A 27,926-nucleotide genomic window follows, 5' to 3' on the forward strand; every position below is an offset into this window, starting at 1 on the left:
TTTAATTACTATACAATCAAATATATGACAATAAAATGTGGACACCAAAAAACTGGTCATCTTTGAGCTATATCAAATAGACACTCAAACTTTTCCAGTAACAGTGGGGTGGTTAAAATTGGTGGTAACATTTTCTCAATGCTTTGATACAGTACTAGAATCATTAACCTCATGTTCTTCATTCTTAATGGTGCAGACCAGTTTAGAAAAACATGATACAGCAACTGCAGAGCTCAAGAGAGGCGACGAGAAGAGAGAAAGAGGGGACTAGGGTGAAAGGGAGGGAGACAACAATAGCTTTAAGAGTACATGTGTTTATGGCCAAGTTAGTGCCATTTTCTCCTCTTAATGTCCATCTTTGATACCATTAACAGGAAAAAAATAATTAATTAAAAGTTTAAAAATTGTGAGCAATAGCAGGCATATGGTATAGGACAAAGAATATGGGTTTTGAAGACTAAGAGCTGTGTTCCAATCCCCTCTCAGTCGTTAGATAGATGGCTTCTGTTTGTAAGATCTCAACTGTTTTTACCACAGTTAACTATTTTGCAGCATTAAAAATCAGGATCACATTGCTTAGGTCTCATAGAATTGATGAGAACATTAGATGCCATAGGACGCATAAAAGGTATGGTATAGAGGTGTTCAATGATGACAGTTTCCTTCCTATAATCTCACCATAGCCACCCCTTTCCTGCCATTTATGCGTTAGAAGCCTCACTACTGAAGGAGATGCCACTACTTGTTCAGGACAGATGGTAGGGTCAAGGCCATGGCAATAATAACATAAATCCACCCCTTCAACTTTATTTCTCAGGATCAATAATGGAACTTGCTAGGTAAATATGTTCCTTGCCAGAAATTTTGTTTTGTAAGTATAGTCATGCACTGCATAATGATGTTCCTATCAACAACAGACCACATATACAACAGTGGTCCCATAAGATTGTAATATTGCTGAAAAATCCTTATTACACAAATACCATTGTATTATTATTTCCTCACACTAGTTCAGTAATGTGCTGTATAGGTTTGTAACCTAGAAGCAATAAGCCATACGTATAGCCTAGGTATGTAGTAAGCTATACCACCTAGGTTTGTGTAAGTACGCTCAACGATGCACACACAAGATGAAATCACCTAAAAACACATTTCTCAGAATGTATCTTCGTCATTAAGGGAGACATGAATGTACATGAATGGATGAACTCTGTACCACATTTTAAAATTGTGTAAAATTTGGATCTACAGCTTACTAAGGGACCTTAGAAAAGTCACTTAACTGCCCTGTAAATGGGGCTGACAACAACAACATGTTGTAGCGGATATAAAAATTAAATGAGGGAGTACACATAATGAACTTCAACTGTGTAAGGTAGAACATAAGCAATCCATATATGTAGGCTATTGTTAGTGTCCTTTGACATCAAAAGACACTAATTTCCATAACAAACACCATATAGAAACTAATTTTAAGATGATGAAAACTAAATTTTAATTCATGTTGTAATGGAAAGGAAAATAAACAAATATTGCAAAAATCACAAAAAGATCCACATTGTCATTACATTACCTATTTTCACTATACACATCTTGACTTTAAGGACATTTTATTACTAGAAATATATCATGGTAAAATCACACTGAAAAAGAGATCCAGTTAAATGGATACGAGCAACACGGATCTCACAAAAATTCTAAGTTTAGACTTTGAATATATAGTCACTAAATTATCCAGTGCAGACATAAGAATTGGTGCTATCTTGGAATTCAAATTCTTTAATCTCAGACTCACATTATGAGCAGAGGCCAGAAGCAAGCTAGAATCCTCGTCTTTCCCCTGGAAGGCCAAGCACTTTGACCTTTATTAAAAGCTACCCCATGATACACACAAAGTCTCTTTAAACGCATATTGGAGCCCCTAAATATGCTCACTCCTTATAATATATTTACTGTTTGTTCACATTGAAATAGCCAAGAATAGTGGAGAATAGATAAAAGGAGATTCAAATAACTAATAATATCATGTGTATTTCCCCCATATTCTCTAAGAACAAATCAATCAATACATATCAAGAGCACATCAGCAATGTTTCCTCTACCATTACATTGGTTTCTTGGTCAATGGCTAGTTTTGTTACACAGACAATTTCTAATAGTCAAGTAATCCAGTACATAAGCAGTACTTGGTATATTACAGCAGCAAGAAGTATTTCTATTCTCAGAAAAATATAATTTGTTTTCCATTTCCTTACACTGTTTACTCTCAATGTCAACATTCAATTACATATCCATAAATATAATTTACTGAATAAAAGTTAAAATATTTAATTTTTAACTTCAAACTGTGATTCAAATTAAATAATATTATTGTAATAGATAATAAGATATTTAGATTTTCAGAGTATGTGGTAAATAGACCCATTTAAGCAGTTCTATACAAGAAACACTTTCTCTCTCTGTGAGGTAATAGAAGACCAAAACAACTTTTAAAACAGAAAATCAGGGATTTGTAGAATTCTAAGAGACTCTAAACTCTATTTTCCCGAATTCTAATTATCATCAAGGCATTCGGATAAAAGTTGACAACTACATATGATCTTTCAACACATACATTTATTCACATAATCACTAAAATTGACAGTGCATCTTCATCATAATAAATTTGTAAGAATTACTTGATGTTAATAATTTTTATGACAAATTATTTTAATTCAAGTTTGAAGCTCCACTTGTAAGATAAATACAAACAAAACCAGTCTTGACATTCAGTTATGAAAAGTAATTCATTATGCATGAAGTAAAATTTGCCATCAAATACTTAAGCATCTTATTACTTTTTATTGTTAGTAAAAATTTGCAAAGGTCATTTGAACTTACTGTTATATAAGCTATTTAGCATTTATTCTAAGAGCAAAATACAGTTTTGGTAATCATTGTACTAAAAGACATACAATTGCTATAGCACAGAAGAAAAATGCAAAATATAGTGAAAACATGGCTGCTCAAATATTTGTTGATATCATCATGGAACTATTGTCATAGGTCTTTCAAAAGTGCATGAGGGCAGGGCACGGTGGCTCCTGCCTGTAATCCCAGCACTTTGGGAGCCTGAGGTCAGTGGATTGCTTGAGCCCTGGGGATCAAGGTTGCAGTGAGCTGTGTTTTGCACCACTGCACTCCAGCCTGGGCAACAGAGTGAGACCCTGTCTCACAAAAAAAAAAAAGAAAGAAAGAAAGAAAAGAAAAGAGAAAAAGAAAACAAAATAAAAAGTTTATGAGTGGGTTCTAACTCTGGGGGTTCAAGATCAGTCTGGACAACATGGCAAAATCCTGTCTTTACTAAAAACACAAAAATTAGCCTGGTGTGGTGGCACACGCCTGTAGTCCCAGCTACTTGGGATACTGAGGTGGGAGAATCACTTGAGGCCAGGAAGTCAAGGCTGCAGTGAGCTGTGATAGTGCCATGGCACTCTGGGAGTGAGATAAGAATGCATGTATATGTATCTGTATCTGTATCTGTATCTGTATATGTATATGTATATGTATATGTATATGTATATGTATATGTGTGTATATATATGTGTGCATATACATGAAATGTATGCATCATAAGCTTCTGAATATATTATGAAACTATTTGGAATAAATTTTAGGAAACTGCAAGCTGTATTTGTACTAGTATCTCACACACATACACATATATACAGATATTCATGTGTTCAGAAAGATTATATCTATAATGTATGTTTGTGACACAGACAGCATGTCTTACTCAATACTTTATTCCAGCTCCTAGAGATATTCTTGCTAAATACTAGACTTTTAGTAAATTAATGAACCCTTCATGAGTGTTTCTCTGAATTCCTGAGGAACTACTTAATTGGCATTTGTCATGCTAGATCGTATTCCTATTTGTTTCATATGACATAGGTACCTAATAAATGCAAATGCTTATAAAGATTACATAAGAGATCACTGATCGGTCTTTAGAACTAGCAATGCACCAAGCCACACGAATGGAACAGTGAGGCTGCCTCCTCATCATCTAAATGATTAGAAAACAAGGCTAAATTCTAGTATAGATTTCAGCACTCTAACAAATCGTTACTGTCCCTTTATCTTCCCTCTCCCCATGGCAGATTGTCTTTCTTTTTCTGCTTCACAAAATTAAGTCATTCCACTCCTCTGCTTGCACATTTTTGGCATTACCCATTGCCTAGAACTCAAGATTCAAACACCTTATCTATAGCAATGCTTAGGCTTTCATAACCTGTCCCTCACCTACCTTTCCACATATATCACTGACCAGTCACTGCACTCATTCCACTTTCTATTCTATTTAAAACTCCGAAGAACTATCCTTCAACTCAGCATCTGATTCCTTCACTGTTCTCTTTGCCAAGAATCGTTCCCCTCCCTGCTATGCATAGTTTAAACACCATCACAAATTATCACCTCTTAGGAAGTGATAATCAGTTATTATTAATTCACCGAAGCAGAGTTGATTATGTCTTCCTCCGCCTCACCTTCTAAATTTTGCAGATATCTCAACTATAGCTATACTGAATTATATTGTTATCATGTGTTTACCAGCTTGTCCAATTATACTATGAGCTCCTTGAAGGTAGAGGCCATAACTCATTAAGTTTTCTTTTTGTTCTCTTGTACCCTCCATAGCATAAACGTTAACTTTTTGAATAAATAAATAGCAACACTACAAGAAATGAAATCTAGAAAATGTAGAAAAGTGGACCGCGATGACCAGTACAGAACATAATTAAAGAAGATCATTTAAAGGGCCAACAATTTATCCAAATTTGAGTCCTCCCAACTCGAGATAAATGAGACCTCATCTTTCTACATATTGCAAGTCCAGATTCGGAAGCTTAAACTAAAACACACATTTGGTTAAACTGTATGAAATTGCTGATATTTGACTAATTTTGACCTACAAAGTGATCATTTAATGCAGTTCAACTTAATTTCTATTATTTGATGACAAAATTCATCCCCATTTCCCAAATCTTCTGGAGAAAGCAGCACAATAAACCCCGCCCCTAAATCCATGCTCAAAAGAAACACACTCTTCCAAATTTACTCACAAGAAGAAACACTCATTCCAGTGCCAACAAACATCAGCTGGTTCTAAGGTCAACACATTTACCAAAGAACTAAAAGTAAACTCTACCAAAAGAACAACAAAACAATCTAAGCCTGAGTGAAGTATGACCGTCAGTCAATTCAGCTCCAGTGCTGCTCCCTGATCTGTCATTTCCTCTTATCTCAGAAGGCTCTTTGAATTTTCAGACTAAGAGCAAAGGCAGACGCTGCCCTACGCATGTCTCTAAGGCTTTTACCTACTGTAATTGTTACACCTGACACCTGTGGTTATCGCACCTGCTAGGAGAGCATTCCCTTCTTAAAGCTTTTCCTTACAGTGCTTTTCCTTCCTGATGTACCAAAAATATTAGAATATTTTGGATGCAAAACAAAGCCTAGGTTTGAATCTCTCCCTTTATATATAAACTTGGTATTTATCTACCTATAGATAACAAGAGATTACTGAATGAAAAGTAAGCATATTTCTGAAGTATTCACTATCATTTATTCTAAATTCTATTTTCTTTATTTTTTAATGCCAGAACTGATTACAGTAACTTTCCAGAAAATATGAAAAGAATCACTGTAACTATACTTAGCAATACTGTGACGTATATTTGACATTTTCTACAGAGTAGATCTTAAATGTTCTCATCAGAAAAAAAAAGAAAGAATAGAACCACTATTTATATTTGCACTGTGTGCTCAAAACTATAGTCAGCGTTCTGTTAATAATTGTACTACATCTATAGTATGTATGGGTGTGTGTATAAACACAAGCATACACTATTTTAAATGAGGAGAATGATGTGCAAAGGGATAGGTAACCATCTAAAATTAGATGACTAATAGGCCGGGCATAGTAGCTCATGCTTATAATTCCAGCACTTTGGGAGGCTGAGGCGGGAAGATCACCTGAGTTAGGAGTTTGAGACCAGCCTGGCTAACACGGTGAAACCTGGTCTTTACTAAAAATACAAAAATAAGCCGGGTGTGGCGGAGCACACCTGTAATCCCAGCAACTCGGGAGGCTGAGGCAGGAGAATCGCTTGAACCCAGGAGATGGAGGTTGCAGTGAGCCGAGACTGCACCACCACACTCCAGCCTGGGCGACAGAGTGAGACTCTGTCTCAAAATAAAATAAAATAAAATAAAATAAAATAAAATAAAATAAAATAAAATAAAATAAAATAAAATAAAGTAAAATAAAATAAAATAAAATAAAATAAAATAAAATAAAATAAAATAAAATAAAATAAAATACAACTAATAAATGGGGCAGTCAGTTCAAACCAGATGTGTCTAACTCCAAAATTTACACTCTTAACTACTGTACTATAAGTGGGCCTCAATAAACTGAAAAACTGACCCACATGTCCAAGTGTAATATGCGAGTACATGGAAATGTGTTGGCACTTGAGTTTTCATAAGCATTACAGTTCACAAACGTTACATTCAACTCAACTTCAAAGCCTAAAATGCCAATATTTTGGCCATTATGTCACCAAATGATCTCAAATACATATACAGTGATTATATGACAGATGGCTTTGATAAACAAAAATAATTCTAACAATAAAAAAATGATAAAATGTTTATTTGGTACAGAGATAGGTGGGGAATGAAGAAAGGCAGGCTTAAAGGAAAAGTTGGAGGTTTATCTTTCATTAAAGAACATCTCTTACTTTGCATGTTGTACAGACTTATGATTCTAATCTACATGGCAGCATTAACTTTTTTGTGATGTGTAACCTCTAACATAGTTTAGTCAACTTCAGAGAAAAGCTGAAGATGTAAAACTAGAAAATTTCCAGATTGCTCATTTGAAATCATTGAAAGCAACTTGTTTCTTCAACTTTCTGCAAGAAACCTTCCCTGATGGCTACAGCTGTGATGATTAGAACTTCAGAACTTTTCAGCCCTCAATGACTGCCCCACTCATTTGATACACATATCATAATGCTATGCCATGTTATTACATTATTTTTACTGTTAATTACTCTGTGTGTAAGATTTTCTCCCAATCACTTGAATACAGAAATCAAGACATCACTTAGCAAAACCTTCATGAAAGCATAGCAGGCTGACATTGGTGATGTCTCTTTTTTTTTTTAATTTTTTTTTTTTTTTGAAACAGAGTTTTACTCTTTTTGTCTAGGCTTGAGTGCAATGTAGGGATCTCGGCTCACCGCAACCTCTGCCTCCCAGGTTCAAGCGATTCTCCTGCCTCAGCCTCCCGAGTAGCTGGGATTACAGGTGCCCGCCACCATGCCCGGCTAATTTTGTATTTTTCAGGAGAGACAGGGTTTCTCCATGTTGGTCAGGCTGGTCTCGAACTCCCGACCTCAGGTGATCTGCCCACCTCTGCCTCCCTAAGTGCTGGGATTACAGACGTGAGCCACTGAGCCTGGCTGCCTCTTTCTTAATGAAAGCACACAAAATAAAAATTAAAATTAAAAATCTTAGAAATGACACTTAAATCCTTCAGTGTTCTAAATACTGCAGTCCTAAATCAGAATACTATTTCACTTTTTCCCATCTTTCTTTTTCATTTGCTTTAATTTGTTGGTGTTTTAATTTTGTTCATATTCCCAAGAAAACTTTATTTACAAAATGTCAACATGGTCTAAATTAATCTGCCAAAGAAGAAAAAGTTATTAAAGGGAAATTCTGGAACAGTCACATTTTTTATGAAGCATATAAAAAAGAAAGTAGAAAGTAATTTTTAATTGGCCAATAATTTAATGAGCTTGAAACTTGCGTGACATACTTCAAAGGTTATCATTAGCAAGTTTTTTAAAGTAAGTTATTTGGGATTTTGGGTATTGGGCTTTATTTAGAAGCACACTGGTCTTGCGTCTTTTTTTTCCTTATTTAATTCAGTCCAGTCCCACAAGATATTTAGCCATTGTTTTACATTGGTAAACTACTTCAGATGAGCCTTAAGTGTGATTTTGCTTGCCTGTGTCATTACTTGGGCATTCCCTGTTCATTCTGCATTCTTCCTCACCACATGCCCAAATTATACTTCTATTCAGTCCAAACTGTCAGTATCAGATCAAGTAACTCTCAGCTTCTATTTATTTATTTATTTTAATTTAATCATTGGCCTAACATTTTTCTTCTGCCTACTGAATAGGGCATCTGGTCAAACTTCTATTTGTCAGTATATAGCTCCTTAACCCTGTGAAAACAGCTAACTAAACTGCATTTTATGGCCACCAGTCTAAGTCTAGGCTAAATTTTCTCTGTTTGATTTATCTTACCCAAAATTGGAGCACGTTTTGTTGATCCTTCTCTAACCATGCTTGTTGTCTTTTCTTTCCAACATTTTTACTACTTTATTTCTTCTTCCTAAATATTTTTGTTAAATTATGTTAGTTCCTTTGCATAGGCTGTCATCCTATCTCTATAATGCTGACAAATTAGCTTTCTCTAACAAAATCAAAACACTGTTATATCTCCAAACATTTTTGAATAGTCAATCTGTACCATGGGAAAGAAGATGAGTTTTCAAGTCAGAATATATATATTCTGACTTGAAAAGTATAGATAGATAGACAGATAGATAGACAGATAGATTGATAGACAGATATAGATAGACAGATACTGACTTGAAAACTCATCTCCTTTACCTTGAGTACAGATTGACTGTTCTTCTTTCATATATATATATATATATATATATATATGCGCATATAAATATGCACATATATATGAACATATATATGTGTACAGGTATGTGTATATATATATACACACACACACATATATATACATAAACATGTGTGTGTGTGCATATACATATCAAACAACTGTCTCCACTGCTTCTTAGTTATAAATTATTGATCAAGTCAACTAACTAACCTGAGACTTAGAGTCCTCATTTTATTAATGGAGCTAATTGCATGCACTGTATAGGATCTTGCGGAAAATAAATTACAGTATATAAAATGTCTCCTAGTATGGTGCATTGTACATGGTTGACATTCAAAAATGCTTCCTAGGCCGGGTATAGTGGCTCATTTCTGTAATTCCAGCATTTAAACACAGTGTGACCTTATCTCTATTAAAAAAATTAAAAATTAGCTGGGCATGGTGGCATATGCCTATAGTTCCAACTACTAGGGAGGCTGAGATGGGAGGATTGCTAGAGCCCAAAAGGTCAGGAGGTTGAGGCCACACTGAGCCAGTGATCACACCACTGCACTCCAGTCTGGGTGACAGACTGAGACCCTGTCTCAAGAAGAAAAAAAGTTTATTTTTATTCTTTTATTCTTACTCCAGCCTGGGTGACAGATTGAGACCCTGTCTCAAATAAAAAAAAAAAAAAAAGGTTTCTTTTTATTCTTTTTCACAATTTCGTCTGGTGCTCATTTGACTTTCTAGTGGAGACCCACATATACATACACAGTACAAAATGTTGTGAATGTACCAAATCTCAAAATGATTAACACAGAAACATGCCTCATGAGTAGAATTTACTTTCTCTTTTTTATGTCTGAGTAATTCTATTTTTTTATTTTTTATTTTTTCAGAGATGGGGTCTCACTATGTTGCCCGGGCTTGTCTTGAACTCAGCTCAAGCAATCCTTCCACCTTTGCCTCCCGGAGTGCTGGGATTACGGGTGTGAGCCACCGTGTCCCTGAATTTACTTTCAAAAGTATACTCACGAACTTAAATAATTCAACACAAAATAAAAAATGTACTTTGATATCCAGTTTTAAAAGAAGAAAAACTAACTTCTATTAAATACCTTAACACTAAAATGAAAGTGTTCAGTGACTCAAAATAAATCTTTCTGAACCATAACTCTGTAGTCTTAAACACAGTATATCTATGATATGTGACTAAAAGGCATAATGTTTGAAAATATCATATCACAATAATTATGGTGATTTCCCCTATCAAGGTAATAAAACTGAATTATATAAATTCATTCTTAGGGATGTATATTTATTGTTTCATTGAACATTATGCATTATATATTTCTTATACTCAAAATTGATGGCCAGGCTCTGTGGCTCATGCCTGTAATCCCAGCACTTTGGGAAGCTGAGGCGGGTGGATCACCTATGTTCAGGAGTTTGAGACTAGCCTGGCCAACATGGTGAAACCCCATCTCTACTAAAAATACAAAAGATTAGCTGGCATAGTCGTGGGAGCCTGTGATCCCAGGTACTTGGCAGGCTGAGGCAAGAAAATCTCTTGAACCCGGGAGGCTGAGGTTGCAGTAAGCTGAGATCGTGCCACTGCCCTCCAGCCTGGGCAATAAGAGCGAAACTCCATCTCAAAAAAAAGTAATAAAAAAAGCACTATATCCATGTAATGTATACCAAAACATATTACTTATTTTAATCTCCTTCACTTGGCCTAAATATTCTCACCTTGTAGGAAATATTAGCTATAATATATTTCAATGTGATTATTTAAAAGTCTAAAACCTACAACATTGTATTCCAAAAACTAGAAACTGTGATTTGAGGAAGAGATCTTGCTGGAATATTTTTATTTTGCAAAGAACTAATACCAAAAATGTGTACATAGTTTCAAAGATTTGAAGTCTCTAAAAATGTCCCTGTGAAATAAGCACACATATACTTCCTTGATAATTGCACACATTTTGATTTTTAAAAACATTTTTTCAAATTCAGAACATATTTCTTCACTCTGTTTTTCTTAGGAGAAAAATCTGAATATTAGCCCAATTTTTAAGTTAGGGTGTTAAAAATCTCAGAAAAGTTTATTCACACCTCTGAGGCTAAAAGAAATGCCTTTTAACCAGAACATAAGATTTTTAGAACCATACTAGAAGTCACTACCTCTTTGTATAATCAAAAATAGAAAACAAAGTACACATTTAGAACTTAACTATGAGACAGAAATTAATTTACGTAATGAATACTGAGAGGAAACAAGGTAGGAAGGAAGGAAGTTTCTGTATATCACTTCTTCTAAAAAATGGAATACAAAGAGTGTCATAATCATGTTTTTGACTCTTACTGGGGGGTGGCTCACAAATTTACAAGCAGATATTGTTACATTAAAGCAATTTCAATGCTCTAATAGAAGGTTATGAATTTGCAATGGAAAGTTACTTGAATTTCACACTGTAGAGCTGTTAGTGGTAAGTAATTATACCACTGTATTTCCAATGATGAAGTCCCATCTCTGTGCTTGTTCCCTTCCCAGTGGAAAATATCTTGTAAAGCAAAGAGTGGCTAAGGGATTCAGGAGGAGGAAAACACATACCATAAAATATAATTAAGAATTGTGGAGGCTGCATATGACAAGAATAACCATAAAAAACAGATACAAACCAGCTGGCTGTTAACAACTTCTGAGTTATAAAAATCTTAAACCTGCTGTAAAGCACTCAATTCAATTTACATAACCACAGAGCTGACATTCCTTTTAGGCTCCTCTGTTGGGGATTTTCTTTTTTTTTGACATGTTTTAAGGCAACATAAAAAGCAACTGTGAAAAGAAGACATGTATCATCTTACACAGGAATTTATTCCTGCTTTAAGACTGGACTTTCAAACTTTAATTTGAACCTCTTCCCTTGAAGTGGAAAATATCTTTAATGGACATTGGCTGTCTGATTTTACAGCATTAGTTTTTAGATGTTCATGTTTCTAACAACACTAATGCTTTTTCTGTGTGTTATGTGTTGTGTGTATTTGAGTCACTGGCATTATACAATTTCAATTCAGTGGTACCCATTCAAGAACCAATATCCATGGTCTATAAGAAGAGAATAATATTTTGGTCAACCATGACTGAAACAACTATAATTTCTTAGGAACCTAATGATGCAAACAGCATTGTACAAAACTAACATAGCCTGCTGTAGGGAATTAAAAATAAACAAAATAAAATAAAATCAATTGTACATTGAGTGAAATTTTGATGTATAAGTGCTGGCAGCCGAAATTGCCCTGAGCACAAAATGAGCTTTCCTGTTTGATAATTTGCTTGATTCACTATGTTGCTACATGCAGGGCACTTTATGCCTGACTTATATTAAATCCAGTCACCTGCTTAATGTTAGAAGGGTCATAATTATATACAAGGGTTTTGAACATACAGCATGTCAATATTTCAGATCTGGCATATAAAATATGTATACCCATTTTCAATTTAACAATTTTAAAATATGTTTGGTAATAACTTTAGGGTTATAATACAACACAAAATCATTCTATTTTCACCAAGAATAAAGTAAGCAAATGTATTGGGGTTATGAGACAACCATAGCCCCATATATTGGGACGAGCAGAGGCATGGAGTTATGAATTCAAATTCTCTGCCATTATCTGGCTGATTTTCAGCAGCAAACCCTAGTCTTAATTTCTCATGGTACTACATGTACCACAGAAAGTTGTTGGGAGATGATATAGTATATGGATTCTTAAAATATGTTAGGATTTTAAATAAATCTCTAAAATATTTTTATGTAATGTGTAAGCTGCCTTTTGTTATGTTAGATTATGTTAGGAATTATAGTTAACTCCTTCAGTTCTTTAGTCTGTGTAATTATTTAAAACAGAAATTACCACTAATAAAAAGAGAGAAATCAGTCTAGCTGTTATAGAAGAAATAATGAGTTTCTTTTTAGTCACTGACAAGTTTAAAATGACATCAAATGTCCAATATCTAGTGATAGACGTAACACTCTTTAGAGAGTATTATGGATAAAGTGATGAAAATAATAAAAAAAAGGACATGAGATTGTTCTATAACATTGTTATAGAAAAAGATTGTTATAGAACAATCTCATGTCCTAGACAGGGGAAAAGCAAAAAGAAGTTTTCAAATATCTTTATAAGATTTTCCATGTTGTTTATTACAAAGAATAACAGTAATACTAGCTGCTTAAACACACATACACACACAGACACATACATATATATATATGACTCATAAGAACAATTTTAATTTTGTTACATTGTTTTATCTTGAGTAAATATGAACTTAATCACTAGAAAATATCTTAGCACATAGTAAAATTAATTTCCTGAGATATTTTCAATTTAATTTTTATTAGGTAAAATATAAGGATTTTATTTTTTGTCACTTAAATCTGTCAAAGGACAAATTAAAGTAGCAGGAAAAAAGAAAGAACATGATTTACTATGTTCTGGGATATTACAACATTTTCTATACAATGGAATAATTAATGGAAGACTATCAATATAGATGACTATGTATATGATTAGACAGATTAATACATCTAAATATGATATAATCAAATGTGTGTATTTTATATTTCAAACACTTAACTCAAAAATTATATTGTTTCCATATAATCCTGAGAAGGAGGATACATTTCCTAGATTATATGTTCCCATAATAAAATATCAAATGAAAATCTTCAAGAAAAAAAGATCCCTTGAAATTAAGTTTATTTCTATTTCATAGGCAGATTGAATCTTAGAATTAATAATAACTATAACATTATCCTAAATGTAAAACATCCCTGTACAACACACCTGGGAGAGAGTACTCAAGGCATTTCTAATGAGATTTCCATGCAATATGGTCCACACAGTTTCTCAGTGGGCTCATATTTGAACCATTTTTTCTCCCATGAGTGACAGTCACTCGTTCAGTCCTGCCTTCTGGAACAATGGAGAATTAATCTGTAACCTCCGTAACTATATCCAAAGACAGTGATAATGTCCCTACTCAGAGCCCCCATTCTTCTCTAAATATTCTCATTTCCTTCAACCAATGTTAATGTAATAACTTCCAGTTGTGATTACCCAATTTGGGCAATGTTTTCTATCATGACCTCTCAAGACGTAACAACCACAAATGGACACAATACTGTTGATATCGTCTAAGCAAACAAGGCTGCTGCCAAAACAAAGCAATATGTAGAGTTTGTCAGCAGCCACACAGCATCAAATTTAAAATAGACTTCAGTGAATCACCATGTTGGCAACGGTACACAGAGGTTTTGTTCCCAGATGTAAAAATCTTGCTTAGGTTGAAAACATCAAATACTATTGTTAAAAGGGTTCAGAATGAAATAAACTGATGAATACATGCTTTTTTAAAAATCACGATCAAAATATAACAACCATAAATGATCCCAATGCTGCCGATAAACATACAAGACTGTCACCTTGTGATTCAGGAAACAGGCTTGGCAGTTATGTTAACAGTCTTGAGCAAGAAAAATCAGTGCCAAAATTTACTCATCTGTAAAATGGAAATGGTAATAACTACCCACAGATATTTTATCAGTATTAAATGAGCTAATATATGTAAAAGGACTTAGTAACTGAAATATGATAAATCCCAATAGATGGTAACAATTACTAATACTCTAATGATCTAAAAATTACATATTCATTAATCAGTCAGTGATTGCCTTGAATCTTCAAACAGCCACATTATATGCTTTGTAATACCATGAAACTCATATATTTTTCCACAAAAAATATTGCTATCGGATTTAATTTTCATATTTGTGTTGTACAAATGAAGTTTTGAGTTGAATCATACTCTTTTTAAGCCAATATAAAAATGGCACTTTCCACTATAATGAGAATAATTATGCCTTTAACCCCTAGTTTTCTCTTCCTCTTTGAAAAAATTTATAGTGCTGTTATGTAACTCTCTTGGTATTGCTACTTTGTACCTTCAATTATAGATTACTGAGTGGCAATGTCATTCATCTTTGCAACTCATCATAAATATTTGTTGAATATTTATGAAAGGAACATTTCTAAAGTGCGCATTTCACAAATAAATTTTGAAATAGTTATGAATATATTGTATGATATCTAATATTCACTTCAGATTTTCTGCAACAAGAAGATACTCTATTTAATGACTATGAATATTTTACTTATTTGGAAATAAAGGGTGTGTGTAATTGTGTATATGATTGTGTGTGTGTGTGTGTAACTTCTCCAATTGAGAATAAAATGTATCAAAAGTAGATGGAGGAGTTAAACAGCAGAACAACAGAGACAATAATTCAATAACATCAATCAGTTATCTTTGTTACTTTGATTCTTTCATCAGAACTTAGCCTCTGCTAAACACAGGCTTCATAAACAACTTTGTCATTTTAAATGTTTTAAATAAAACATAAGAGAAAAAAATGCAAAGAGAGGAGAAAGCAAAAAGCTAGATTGAAAAGACAGACAATTCAAATTTGAGGAGTAGAGCCTAGGTTCAGGTGAAAAACATGCAACAGATACATGCTTTCTGGTCAAGGCATTATTGGAGAAAAGATTCAAGGGTTGACAGCTAAACAATGTGCTACTGGAGCACTGAAATGTAGAGAAACTCACGCTCAGAAATTTAAAGGAATTGCCAACATTTGCTTACTAGCCACCAATATTTAGTGGTTAAGGTTAATCAACCTTACAGGGACCCAAATCTCCTTAAGAAAGAGCCCAGTTTTATAGATGCCCAACTATTAGCTTATCTAACCCTGCTAGTTTCAGAGTGAATATAAATAAGAAATAGAGATTCTGGAGACTCCAGTTTTTCAGTTGTTTTAAAAAACCAATTCACCAGGTATTTGACGATAGTTGATATAATTCACACGGCTGTCTCAAATAATATGGCCATGTAGATTTCCAGAGTTCAATATGTAAAGTTCATTAATATCCACATAATTTTTCATTTAAAACAGATTTAAGTGAATCACCTGTTGGAAACAGTACACTGAGGTTTTATTCCCAGATGTAAAATCTTAGTTAGGTTGCAAATACCCAATGCTATTGTAAAAAAAATCTCCAGTGTGAAGTAGATTGGTGAATACATGTCAAAAAAAATCATGATCAAACCTGGCATTTTTGTTGACAGACTTTGTAGTGAGGCCAAAGGTGTAATTAGGCCAGAAAATTACTTTCTCACCACTAGAATTGTTCCCTTCAGGTCTTGAGTTATCAGTCCAGAAAATTTCATTTAACACTAAATTCACTTTAAGACAACTGTCAAAATTAAGCAGAGGTGAGTCAAGTCAAGGTCCTAATATTCAAATCTCTCATTTGGATTTTGAGATTCAATACAAAATAAAAATGCTATAGGTTCATTTTTCTATCAAGACTAAACTTTTTGTGAATTTAAGAAACAACCTGTTCTTTTGGAAAACAGGATAAAGCAGAATAACTAAATACATGTAGAATTTGAGATGCTTACTAGCCATAAATGGTTGAAACAATCTCTATTCCCTGTTCAATAAGATCTTGGTGTGAAAACAATAAAAACATAAAAGGACCCACAATTGTTATAGATGCAATGCAAGGGGGGAATGATACTAATGACAGAATTGTGAATTTACCATATTTGCTTTAAAATGATGGGAGTTGGCTGTAGTATATTTATAAATAACTGGTGTACCACATTTTCAAAAATGGAAAGAAATAGGATATTTTGGTACATATTCCATAGATTTTTGAGCAAGAACTCAGTGTTAATAAACACAAAGGAAATATACTTTATACAGCATGGTAGGATTATGAGTGACGCCTTCGTATTTTCCAAAATCTTGTAATAATAACATACAAATTGAATATTTGAAAAATAGCTTCAACTACTTTTGCTAATTATATCAAACAGTTTAATGTCTAATATAGTATCATGAAAAGTATGACCATAATTTCTGGAGCCAAAGAGCTTATGCTGAACTTCCCTTGGATGCCAATTGTGACATTGCTTTGACCAGGAGCTTTATCAATTGCACAAATAAATAATAACACAGAGATTTACTACTAATGAGCAATAGGGTAAATGAAGACTATAAGAGTGAGTTATTAATAAAAGTTAAGAAATTATTTTTTCAATTATTTAGGGTAAAGTAGCATGCTTGGGACTTACAGCTAACACTACAATGTGTTGAACTATTTATAACGTTCAGAAATAACTCTAATAGCATAAAACATTTGTCAGTCTATTAGTACTGCATTATTTAGCAAACAAAGTGCAATGTAAAAGAAAAAAAAAGTTTAGTAGACTTTTCCACACTCAATAAAGTAATAGCTAAGTTAGAACTAAAATTCAAACATAATGGAATATTAATGAATTAAGCTTGGTCAATAATGTGGAAATATAATTTTTAAGATCTCTCAATCTATCATTTTGCTACCCCCATATACCCTACCTCCAAAAAATCATGAGACTGAACATCTCAACACTTTAAAATGTAACTATAAAATATATAAATCTTCAAAATGAAACTATTTTAAAACAGTTCTTAAGCTTTCCACCAGTATTATGAGAGAAATAAAACACTATCTAGAAGATATTATGGTGTAAACTAGTGACCAAAACGCCTACTATGCAATAATTTAACTTACATGTCCAATACATGCAGTGGTGCTGTAAGAAGTTTCTGAAATTAGGATTAAGCATGCTAATGAAAATCTGAGGTGTTCTTTTAAAATTTGACCCTGTCCTTTAAAAAGTTCATCTAACAATTTTTTATCAATGAAAAATTCAATTCATCTTCTTTCAATTCTGATCAAAATATGAATGTTACCTAAAGAGATTAATGGATTCCTTGGAAATAGCATAAGTGATAGTGAAAACAAGATTTATAATTATTTATCACTGAATTCAATCCCCAATTGGGCCCTTCATTTCCATTTGAGCAGACTATTTAAATTTTGTGTACCTTAATACTCATCTGTTAAATGAGACAAACAACACCTCCTTCATAAATTGACACGAGAAATAAATGAAATGATATATTAGCTATTAGCAATGTTCCTACCATGTAGTAGTTAGTTATGAATTGTTTGCAGTGCCTTTTGTTTTAACCAATTTATTATACTTACTAATGGAATCATATTTAATTTAACAACATTTTGGCCAGAAACTACGCTAGCAATAGAAGATGCAGTGGTAAAAAAATATACATAGACATAAATATTGATTGTATATATAAAAGTAGTTGGAATTTTAAAATTAAATGCAAATGTAACTGACAAGTTGTTTTTACTTCTGTTGATTATATCCTATGTACAAAGTCTTAATAAATATGCTTTATAAATGCAAGAATATCTATAAAAGAGATGTGAGAAGTACTATGTAGATAAGCTCAAGCAATTATTTGGAAGCAAATTTCAAATATTTTTCATTTGTCAAAATATTCTTTATTGTGGTCTGCATCTGCAATATGGCCATGGCTATTCTAACCCATACGGTGAGAATTATAAATTTGAATAAGCCTTTTAAAAATTATTTCTAAAAAGTAATATTCTCTTTGAATATACTAATTGGGTTTCCAACTATGCTACTTATGAAATGCTAAACTTATGCATTTTATTGGATTTATTATAAAAATAAATCAGTTGAACATGTAATAATCAGTAATGAAAAGATGACATAAAAATATGTCCAGAGAATAAAGAACCCTGCATGCTAGTTGATATGACATTTTAGGAGCAAAAAGTGATATTAAGTAAAAAACGACCAGGTGCAGTGGCTCACGCCTGTAATCCCAGCACTTTGGGAGGCCAAGGCAGGTGGGTCACCTGAGTCAGGAGTTCGAGACCACCCTGGCCAACATGGTGAAGCTCTGTTTTTACTAAAAATACAAAAAATCGGCTGGGTGTGGTGGTGTGTGCCTGTAATCTCAGCTACTTGGGAGGCAGGAGAATTGCTTGAATCTGGAAGGCAGAGGTTGCAGTGAGTAGAGATCATGCCATTGCACTCCATCTTGGGCAACAAGAGCAAAACTCTATCTCAAAATAATAAATAAATAAAAATAAAAACAAAAAAATGAAGCAGCTGCAGATGTCAAATTTTATGTACAGTTTTTTTCATATAGAATAGGAATATGTACACATGAAGGCCTATAACAAGGAATTTTCAATATTTTTTAAAGAGAAACTGAGAAAAAAACAGCAGCACAGTCAATTCTTTACATGACTAAGATCTCACTTTAAATCTCTCTGAATCTCTTACAGATAAAAGAAACATGGCCAGATAATGGTAGTCCATGACATATGTGTTTAATTATAATCCTGAAATTTAAAATATTAATGCATAGAAACTCCAGAAGCAATAGATTCTCTGGAATTCAGGCCAAGATCAAAAGTGGTCTAGGCAGAATTTGCTGGACAGACAGTCAACATATTCAAGGTAAAATGAAGATTGCTGTTCAGATGATGGGATGATACGCTAATGGGAGTGATAATGCTGACAGTTTTTATGATCAATTTTAAAAAATCAAAGGAAGCAAACCACCCCATTTCATTAAAATAATGGCATTGGTATTTGGAGGAAGTACATATTTCTAAAATGTCTATATTCCAATAGTTCTCTCTCATTGATACATATAGTATTTTATTATAGATGATTGATGTGGAACTCACTGTAATTTCAAAAATTCATAGAATATTATTATGTCATGAAATCCATGCCGAGAAAGCAATTGCCATTATAAATCAAAAAGACAACTCATATGGACAGGTCATATGGTAACAGGTTCTCCTTGGAATAGTATCCTTAAACTTAATTTATTCAATAAGTTACTTAAAGGTTAGGTATGATGAGATGAATTTCATGCTCAAATAACTTCAAAATATCATTATATTGTAACACTAAGGGATTAATTTTCTTGGAATTTAGACATACTTGCATTTATATTCATTTGAATCAACATGGTTCCATGGAATCCTACTTAAACATTTCTCCATAATTTAATTCCCTAAAAGAATTTTATTAAGCAATATAAGATAATAGATAATACAAAGGGCATTTACTGCTTTAATAGATAAATGAAGGTATCCAAATAGAGGGATACATTTGAAAAACTTTCACAATGTTACATTTTCAAATTTAGAAAATAGATGTTTTAATAGGAAAACGAATAGGTCCAAAACTTGACTTTTAAGGAATAATGCTTTACTTTGGGAACTAAACATTTTATTGCCTTTAATATTAAACATTTTACATGTTTAAAGATAATCTTGATAATATAGCATCACATTTGTAAATTAAACCCAAAATAATAACTTACATTTGCATAGTTCTTTGGAATAAACAGAGTGTTACATCCCCTTTAATCCTTAAAAACTCAACACTCTTTCCTGAAATTATATCCTTACATCCCAGGAAGTAAGCTCAAATAATTAAAAATATATATCTTTAGAAAAATAGTATCTCCAAAATTATTGCATTTCTGAAATGAAAACTAATGGAAATGTGTTTTATCTGAATAGAATGATATTCAATCAAAAAGTCATGTAGGATGTATTCCAGTAAGTTAAATATGAATCACAAAATTCTATATATAATAGACAAAAACAAATCAATGACATAAGAGAACTGTATCAGGGAAAAAAATATTTTATTTGATCTAATTGAAAAATACAAAACAAAATTTTTTTTTTTAAAAATAAAGAAATGGGCCCAATGCATTGGCTCACACCTGTAATCCCAACACTTTGAGAGGCTGAGGCAGGCAGATTGCTTCAGGTCAAGAGGTCGAGACCAGCCTGGCCAACATGGTGAAACCCTGTCTCTACTAAAAATACAAAAATTAGCCAGGCATGGTGATGGGCGCCTGTAATCCCAGCTACTCCAGAGGCTGAGGCAGGAGAATTGCTTGAACCCAGGAGGCAGAGGTTGCAGTGAGCCGAGATCGCACCACTGCACTCCAGCCTGTACAACAAGAACAAAACTCTGTCTCAAATAAAAAACAAAAAAAGAAACAAGAAATGATTATAACCTGATGCCATAAATATGGGAAAGAACCCATAATTCCCAGAACTGATATATTCAAACATTCAAATAGAGAGATAAATAACTGGTATTCCATGTGAAACAAAGCAAATTATCTGTTTTAAAAATCATCATCATAAAACTCTGAATCGGATGGCATCTTGCTATGTCACACTTTGCAAAGTGTTTTGTGATCACATTAGCTCAGGGGTACCCAAACTCCAGGCCACAGACCAGTATGGGTCCTTGACCTGTTAGGACCTGGGCCACACAGCAGGAGCTGAGTGGCAGGTGAGCAAGCAAATCTTCATCTGTATTTGAAGCCACTCCCCATTGTTTGAATTAGCGCCTGAGCTCCATCTCCTGTCAGATCAGTGAGGACATTAGAGTTTCATAGGATCAGGAACCCTATTGTGAACTGCACATGCGAGAGATCTAGGTTGTATGTTCCTTATGAGAATCTAATGCCTGATGATCTGTCACTGTCTCCCATCACCTGCAGATGGTGTGGTGAGTTGTATTATTTCATTATATATTACAATGTAATAATAATAGAAATAAAGTGCACAATAAATATAATGTGCTTGAATCATCCCAAAACCATACTTCCCACCCACCCCCATCAGTGGAAAAAATGTCTTCCACAAAACCAGTCCCTGGTGCCAAAAAGGTTGGGGACTGCTGCATTCGCTTACTATGTTCTTCACAAAGTCCTATTGAGTAAGAAATAAGGCAGAACTTATGATGGTGGTCTTTACATGATAAAGTAGGTATTTCAGAAGGCAGCTTGATGTAGGAATATAATCAATAAACTGGGATCATAAAACCTAAATTGACTAGAACATAATAGGTACCAATTCCTACCTGTAATGGCTGAACAAGTGAGGGCAGGTAGTGTTACTCAATGTCACACAGCTAGCAAGCGATGAGGAAGAGAATAAAGGCCAGACCTTTTAGTTTCTAAGTTAGGAGCCAACTCACAATACCATTTTGTTTGAAAAATCAATAAATGTCTTTTAAAGAAAAGAGTCATAGCCTGACCTACTCATTGTATCCTAAATTAGCCAAAAAAAAAAAAAAAGTCCATGGTATTCATTTTCTAGGAATTAGGTCTGTGGCAACTTTAATTAATGTGAAATGGCACAAAAGATCTTCAAATAGTTTAGTCTACTGTATATATCTTCAGCCATATATCAACACGTGAACATGATAAAAAGCTCTCCCATTAATTATACTGACTAATTCCTTAATGAAGTGCAAAAACGTTTGCGTAATCTGATTCAATTTATTGAATTAGGTTACAGTTTTATCATTTTGAAAATCAGCTTCATTGTTTACTTTACAATATGTCAATTCATTTCCAACAATTAAATAGCTCAGCATACAGCCATAATCAATTGAAAGCAATCTCCATTTTTAAGGTCTACTACCATTTGTAATGTGCATATTTCTGAAAGCAATATGTGATAGTTTGAACATATATTGTAACAGTAGCAATGACATTTTATATCCCTAAAACTTATTTTGTCCACAAGTCTATAAAGAGAGTTCAGTGTCATTAAGTCCCTAAAAAGTAAACATTTCATAACCAAATTTCAGTGTTATGAAATAATACTATTAGCAAAATCTATAGAGTATATGTGAATATGAATAGCTTGACAAACTAAGACTTCCTATACCTAAACTATACATTTTAAAAGTTATTAACTTTATTTTTAAATCCAATGGAGTTGATTTGAGCAAAGAAAGTTAGCAATGGCATTGAATAAGACTGGGATCAGCCTAATTACAATAATACTTTACCTTTGTCTAGCTTCATCACTTACAAGATGTTACTATAAATTGTGTCATTTGACATTCATGACAATTAGAGAAGCATAATTTTGATGTAATAAAAAGATTATTTTTACAGGTGAAAGAAATGAAGAATCAAAAAAATTTGAATGGCTCAATTATTATATATTTTAAAAACCATGTGCCTGAAAGATTCCTATGAATTTTGGCGATTGGCTTCTCTCTTGGGACTTTACTTTTTAAATCAGAAAGTCAAATCAAAATAATTCTAAGTAAAGTTCAAGGTCTTTCATTTAAATATCTTTAGGGTTTATGTCATTGTTTTATCATTTCTGATGATGTTTACTGTTTAAAATAATACAGCATATTCATCCTTATTCCAAACCCTATCACAACTTTAAATATTTCTTTATATTATATTCAATAATTGCCATTTCCTCCTATTGACTAATTTTACAGCTATGGAACCCTTTAGGGTTTCTCATGAAAGAAAGGGAGAGAGGACAAAAGAAAAAATATATGTAAAAATCTCTTTCAATTGGAAAAAAAAAAGTATCCGTTAGCTTTACCATAGTCACAGTTTTATTCAGAAGCTAACTATTCCATCCATAAAAAACAGTGTAGCAAGTACGATTGCTTAAGAATATAAAGCATGCATCTCAAAAGTAATTTTAAGTTACCATACAAAAAAGTAGGAATGAATATATGAACAGGCACCTTTTAACTAGAAAGACACCATGTCATGTTTGGGAGAAAAATTAAAAGTAAAATAAAATAGAATCCACATATTTCATAATTAGAAGGGAACAAGGTGGTCTTCCCCAACCTACCTCCCTCTCAATGTAAAATTGCCTTCAAATTTAACTAACAACAGTAATTCTAAAGTGGGAAAATTTACAGCTGATGGTTAGCGAGGGAGAATAAGTTTTCAAAAAAATCGTATTGTTTTGTAACATAAACAATATAGCCTATTAAATAAATTGAATAGAAAAACCGTGGCTAACAACTTTTCATCCCAGTTTTCTCTTGAACATTTCTGTCAGAAGGAAAATTTGAGGTTTTATTAGTAATACATTCCACTTTCTGACAGTTCTCCACACAGCAAGGCTCTTTCTTACGGAAGCCAATGTAGACTTCTCTGCAATTTATTCTATCAGATTTCTGTCCTCAGAAGTGCACAATATGATTCTATTGTATCATCCACTTTCAGATTATCTGTAAGCCTTCTTAAGACTAAACATCACCATCATTTCCAAATTGCTATCAGCATGACTGTTCTCTTAATGCTCACAAGTTTGTCAATGTCTTACTAAAAATTGTGGTGCCATGACTGAACATAATATTCCAGATGCCATCTGAAGTGTAGAGCAAAATAGTACTGTTCTTTCCATTTATCTGGACTTTATATTTCTATCTATTAAGCTTAGGTTTATATTAGCACTTTCCAAAGTTGTACCATAATGTTCATTTATATGGTTACAGAGCCAAATGAAATTCTTCATCATTTTACATGCAGAATACGTTTAAATCAGTTCTTAAGTTAATGAATAAGTAGGATAATAAATGTTTTGGGACACAAACTGCAAGGTTTTTTATAAACACTATGATCTTTCTGGCTTTTGCCAGCTTCTCTAGAAATGTTGTTCCTGCCAACCCTTTCATAGCAATTTTACATCTTTACAAAGGACAGAGTAAAGTTCTGAAACTTATCCCCAAAAAGTATGGAAAAAATAAAAAGAAGTTCCAACATTTTATGGTTAAATCTTTAATAACTAACCTACAGCACATCATTAAGGGAAGGAGTTGAAGCTTTGAGGCTAGCTTCAGAGAGGAAAGCCTATCAAAGGGAAAGGCTAAAATAAATAAATAAACGAAATAAAAATAAAAAAAGTTTATCTTGCTTTGCACTAAAATAAACAATATTTGTATTTCTCGCATTTCTTGGTTAGGAAGGGACGTAAGATACCAGCTGCACCTCCTACTGGTTAAAAAATTATAGCGAGCAATAAAAGACAACATGTGGCACATCCACAATGTAACCAAGGGATTAGAACACTAAGAATTTCACAAATAAATGGATATCTGTGAAGCTACAAAGCTCCAGGTAATCTATACAATGTCCACTGTCATAATCAAAAGTTGACTCTGAAAATCTGATTTGCTTTTCTTAATGTAAGTAAACTTCTCTTGTCAAAGGGGGCATCATATTACTAAAAGGAAGCAAATAATACCTTGCAGTTACTCAATTAAGGACATTAGCAACTTCATTATGGGAAATCTACTGAGAGAGAAGTATAAGCAGATTGTAATTCTTAGTGCAGACCAGTGTAGGAAAAGAGACTACAGAACTCAATAGAAACCTGGAAGAGAGAAATAAATTAGGGAAGAAAGTATGGTAATTTTCTTCTAAATTAAGTAGATGAGAGGACTGTCCAGAAGTCTAGTAATATGTGGTTATTTAATTAAGTCTAAAAATAATAGATCATTGCTCTAAGAGATAAGAAAGAAATGATTTTTATGAATATCTATGCTAGTAACAGACCCAGGGTATATTGTGATTTAACAGAAGTACTCTGTTTTAACATGTTACATAGGAAAAAGAAGTAAATATATTTCTTCTGTAGTTCATCATAACAAGAGCTATATTTACATTCAGTTAACTTAAGAAATATATTTTATTTATATGTATTAAATTATATATCAAGATACTGGAGGTACAATGAAAATTCTAATCTTAAAGGATTATATAATATAGTACAAATGTAGTTATATATACCTGTATATGCAGGAATTGTAAAGAGTAATATGTTCCCATGGACACGGGGTGGGTGGGGGACACCACACACCGGTGCCTGTTGGGGGGTGTGGGGCTGGGGGAGAGAATGCATTAGGAGAAATACCTAATGTAGATGACAGGTTAATGGGTGCAGCAAACCACCATGGCACGTGTATACCTATGTAACAAACCGGCACGTTCTGCACATGTACCCCAGAACTTAAAGTATAATAATAAAAAAAGAGTAATATGTTCCATGCTACTATGTTATTTCTATAAATGTCACTTCTCTAGAGCATCAATTTAGAGATTTAAATTCCATCAATTGATGATTATGCTTAAATGTAACCATCATAACCTATAAACAAACAAATAATGCCTTCCATACACTTAGTATACTTCCATTAGGCTCTACACGCTGCATCTTTAATCTGGAGCCTAACTGTGCTTAATGGGATTTTAGAAGCTACATTAACACACCAGTGTTTAAATTTGTAATTGTAAGGCATAATAATTTCTCTCAGAAATCCTTTACTAAACATTTATTAGCCATATTCATTGAACAAATATTTAGTTTGAATATCTGCTCTGTGCCAGGCAATATTCTACACACCAGTGATACCAAAGTGAATAAAATAGGCCAAAATCTTCTGTGTGCATATCTACCATACCCCACCTGGACTTCTCATAATACTTAGCCTAGTGACTTGCTGGATGTCGTAGGCTGCCAATGGCCTCCAAAATTAAGCCCATGTCCTAATCCAGGAAATGTGTGAATGCTACTTTATATATTTAAAAAAATTATTTGTAGATGTGATTATATTAAGGATCTTAAGACAGATTATCCTGTATTATCTAATGTAGCCTAAATACAATCACAAGTGTCCTTAAAAGAGAGTCAGAGGGAGATTTTACACACACACACACACACACACACACACACACACACACACACACGAAGGCGACATTACCACAGAGTCAGAAATTGGAGCCAGGCAGCCACAAAACCAAGAAATGCCTGCAGCTCCCAGAAGCTCAAAGAGGAAAGGACTGGATTCTCCCCTAGAGCCTCCAGAGGGGGTACCCTGCTGACACCATGATTTCAGCCCAGTGATGCTGATTTTGGACTCGCAACCTCCATAACTCTGCAAGTATAAATTGTGGTTTTGCCACTAAGCTTGTGGTAATTTGTTACGGCAGGCACAGGAAACTAATAAATTGCATGATGAAGTCTAAAGTTTAGGTGGGCCTTACAAAAAGGAAAAAAAAAAGAAGACATACCCTTTAATTTTTCTCTTCAAGAAAAGTACAAAGGGAACATGTACTAAGTAGTTATAGGTTAAATGTGCTATCCTCAACAAAATGTCTAGTATCAAACCTCTCAAATATTTCCTAGATATATAAATATATGAAAACACATACAAACGGTGTTCGCAGCCGCCACCGCGCTGCCGTCGCTCTCCAACGCCAGCGCCGCCTCTCGCTCGCCGAGCTCCAGCCGAAGAGAAGGGGGGTAAGTAAGGAGGTCTCTGTACCACGGCTCGTACAAAGCAGACTGCCCGCAAATCGACCGGTGGTAAAGCACCCAGGAAGTAACTGGCTACAAAAGCCGCTCGCAAGAGTGCGCCCTCTACTGGAGGGGTGAAGAAACCTCATCGTAACAGGCCTGGTACTGTGGCGCTCCGTGAAGTTAGACGTTATCAGAAGTCCACTGAACTTCTGATTCGCAGACTTCCCTTCCAGAGTCTGGTGCGAGAAATTGCTCAGTACTTTAAAACAGATCTGCGCTTCCAGAGCGCAGCTATCGGTGCTTTGCAGGAGGCAAGTGAGGCCTATCTGGTTGGCCTTTTTGAAGACACCAACCTGTGTGCTATCCATGCCAAACGTGTAACAATTATGCCAAAAGACATCCAGCTAGCACGCCGCATACGTGGAGAACGTGCTTAAGAATCCACTATGATGGGAAACATTTCATTCTCAAAAAAAAAATTTTTTTTTTTCTCTTCTTCCTGTTATTGGTAGTTCTGAACGTTAGATATTTTTTTTCCATGGGGTCAAAAGGTACCTAAGTCTATGATTGCGAGTGGAAAAATAGGGGACAGAAATCAGGTATTGGCAGTTTTTCCGTTTTCATTTGTGTGTGAATTTTTAATATAAATGTGGAGACGTAAAGCATTAATGCAAGTTAAAATGTTTCAGTGAACAAGTTTCAGCGGTTCAACTTTATAATAATCATAAATAAACCTGTTAAATTTTTCTGGACAATGCCAGCATTTGGATTTTTTTAAAACAAGTAAACTTCTTATTGACGGCAACTAAATGGTGTTTGTAGCATTTTTATCATACAGTAGATTCCATCCATTCACTATACTTTTCTGAGTTGTACTACATGCAAGTACATGTTTTTAATGTTGTCTGTCTTCTGTGCTGTTCCTGTAAGTTTGCTATTAAAATACATTAAACTATAAAAAAAATACAAACATTGTATAAACATCAAGTGTTTAAATAGTAAATATGAGATTTATTCTTTGGGTAAGGCATACAGTAGATTGT

General features: G+C 33.7%; 1 protein-coding gene and 1 pseudogene across 7 annotated transcripts in view; one reads left to right on the forward strand and one right to left on the reverse strand.

The window, feature by feature from the left end:
- The window catches only part of DACH1 (dachshund family transcription factor 1), a 429,239-nt gene that overhangs the window by 210,189 nt on the left and 191,124 nt on the right, over positions 1-27,926 (reverse strand). The window contains exon 1 of one of the 7 annotated variants that reach the window (XM_017020396.2): positions 26,796-26,904. The exons of the other annotated variants lie outside the window; for them this stretch is intronic. The gene's annotated coding sequence lies outside the window, so the exon portion shown is untranslated. Of the gene's footprint in view, positions 1-26,795; positions 26,905-27,926 lie in introns of those variants that run through there. 7 annotated transcript variants of the gene reach the window in all.
- Positions 26,913-27,317, forward strand: H3P36 (H3 histone pseudogene 36; annotated as a pseudogene).

This window comes from Homo sapiens, chromosome 13 (genome assembly GCF_000001405.40).
Source record: "Homo sapiens chromosome 13, GRCh38.p14 Primary Assembly".
NCBI classification, from domain to species: Eukaryota; Metazoa; Chordata; class Mammalia; order Primates; family Hominidae; genus Homo; species Homo sapiens.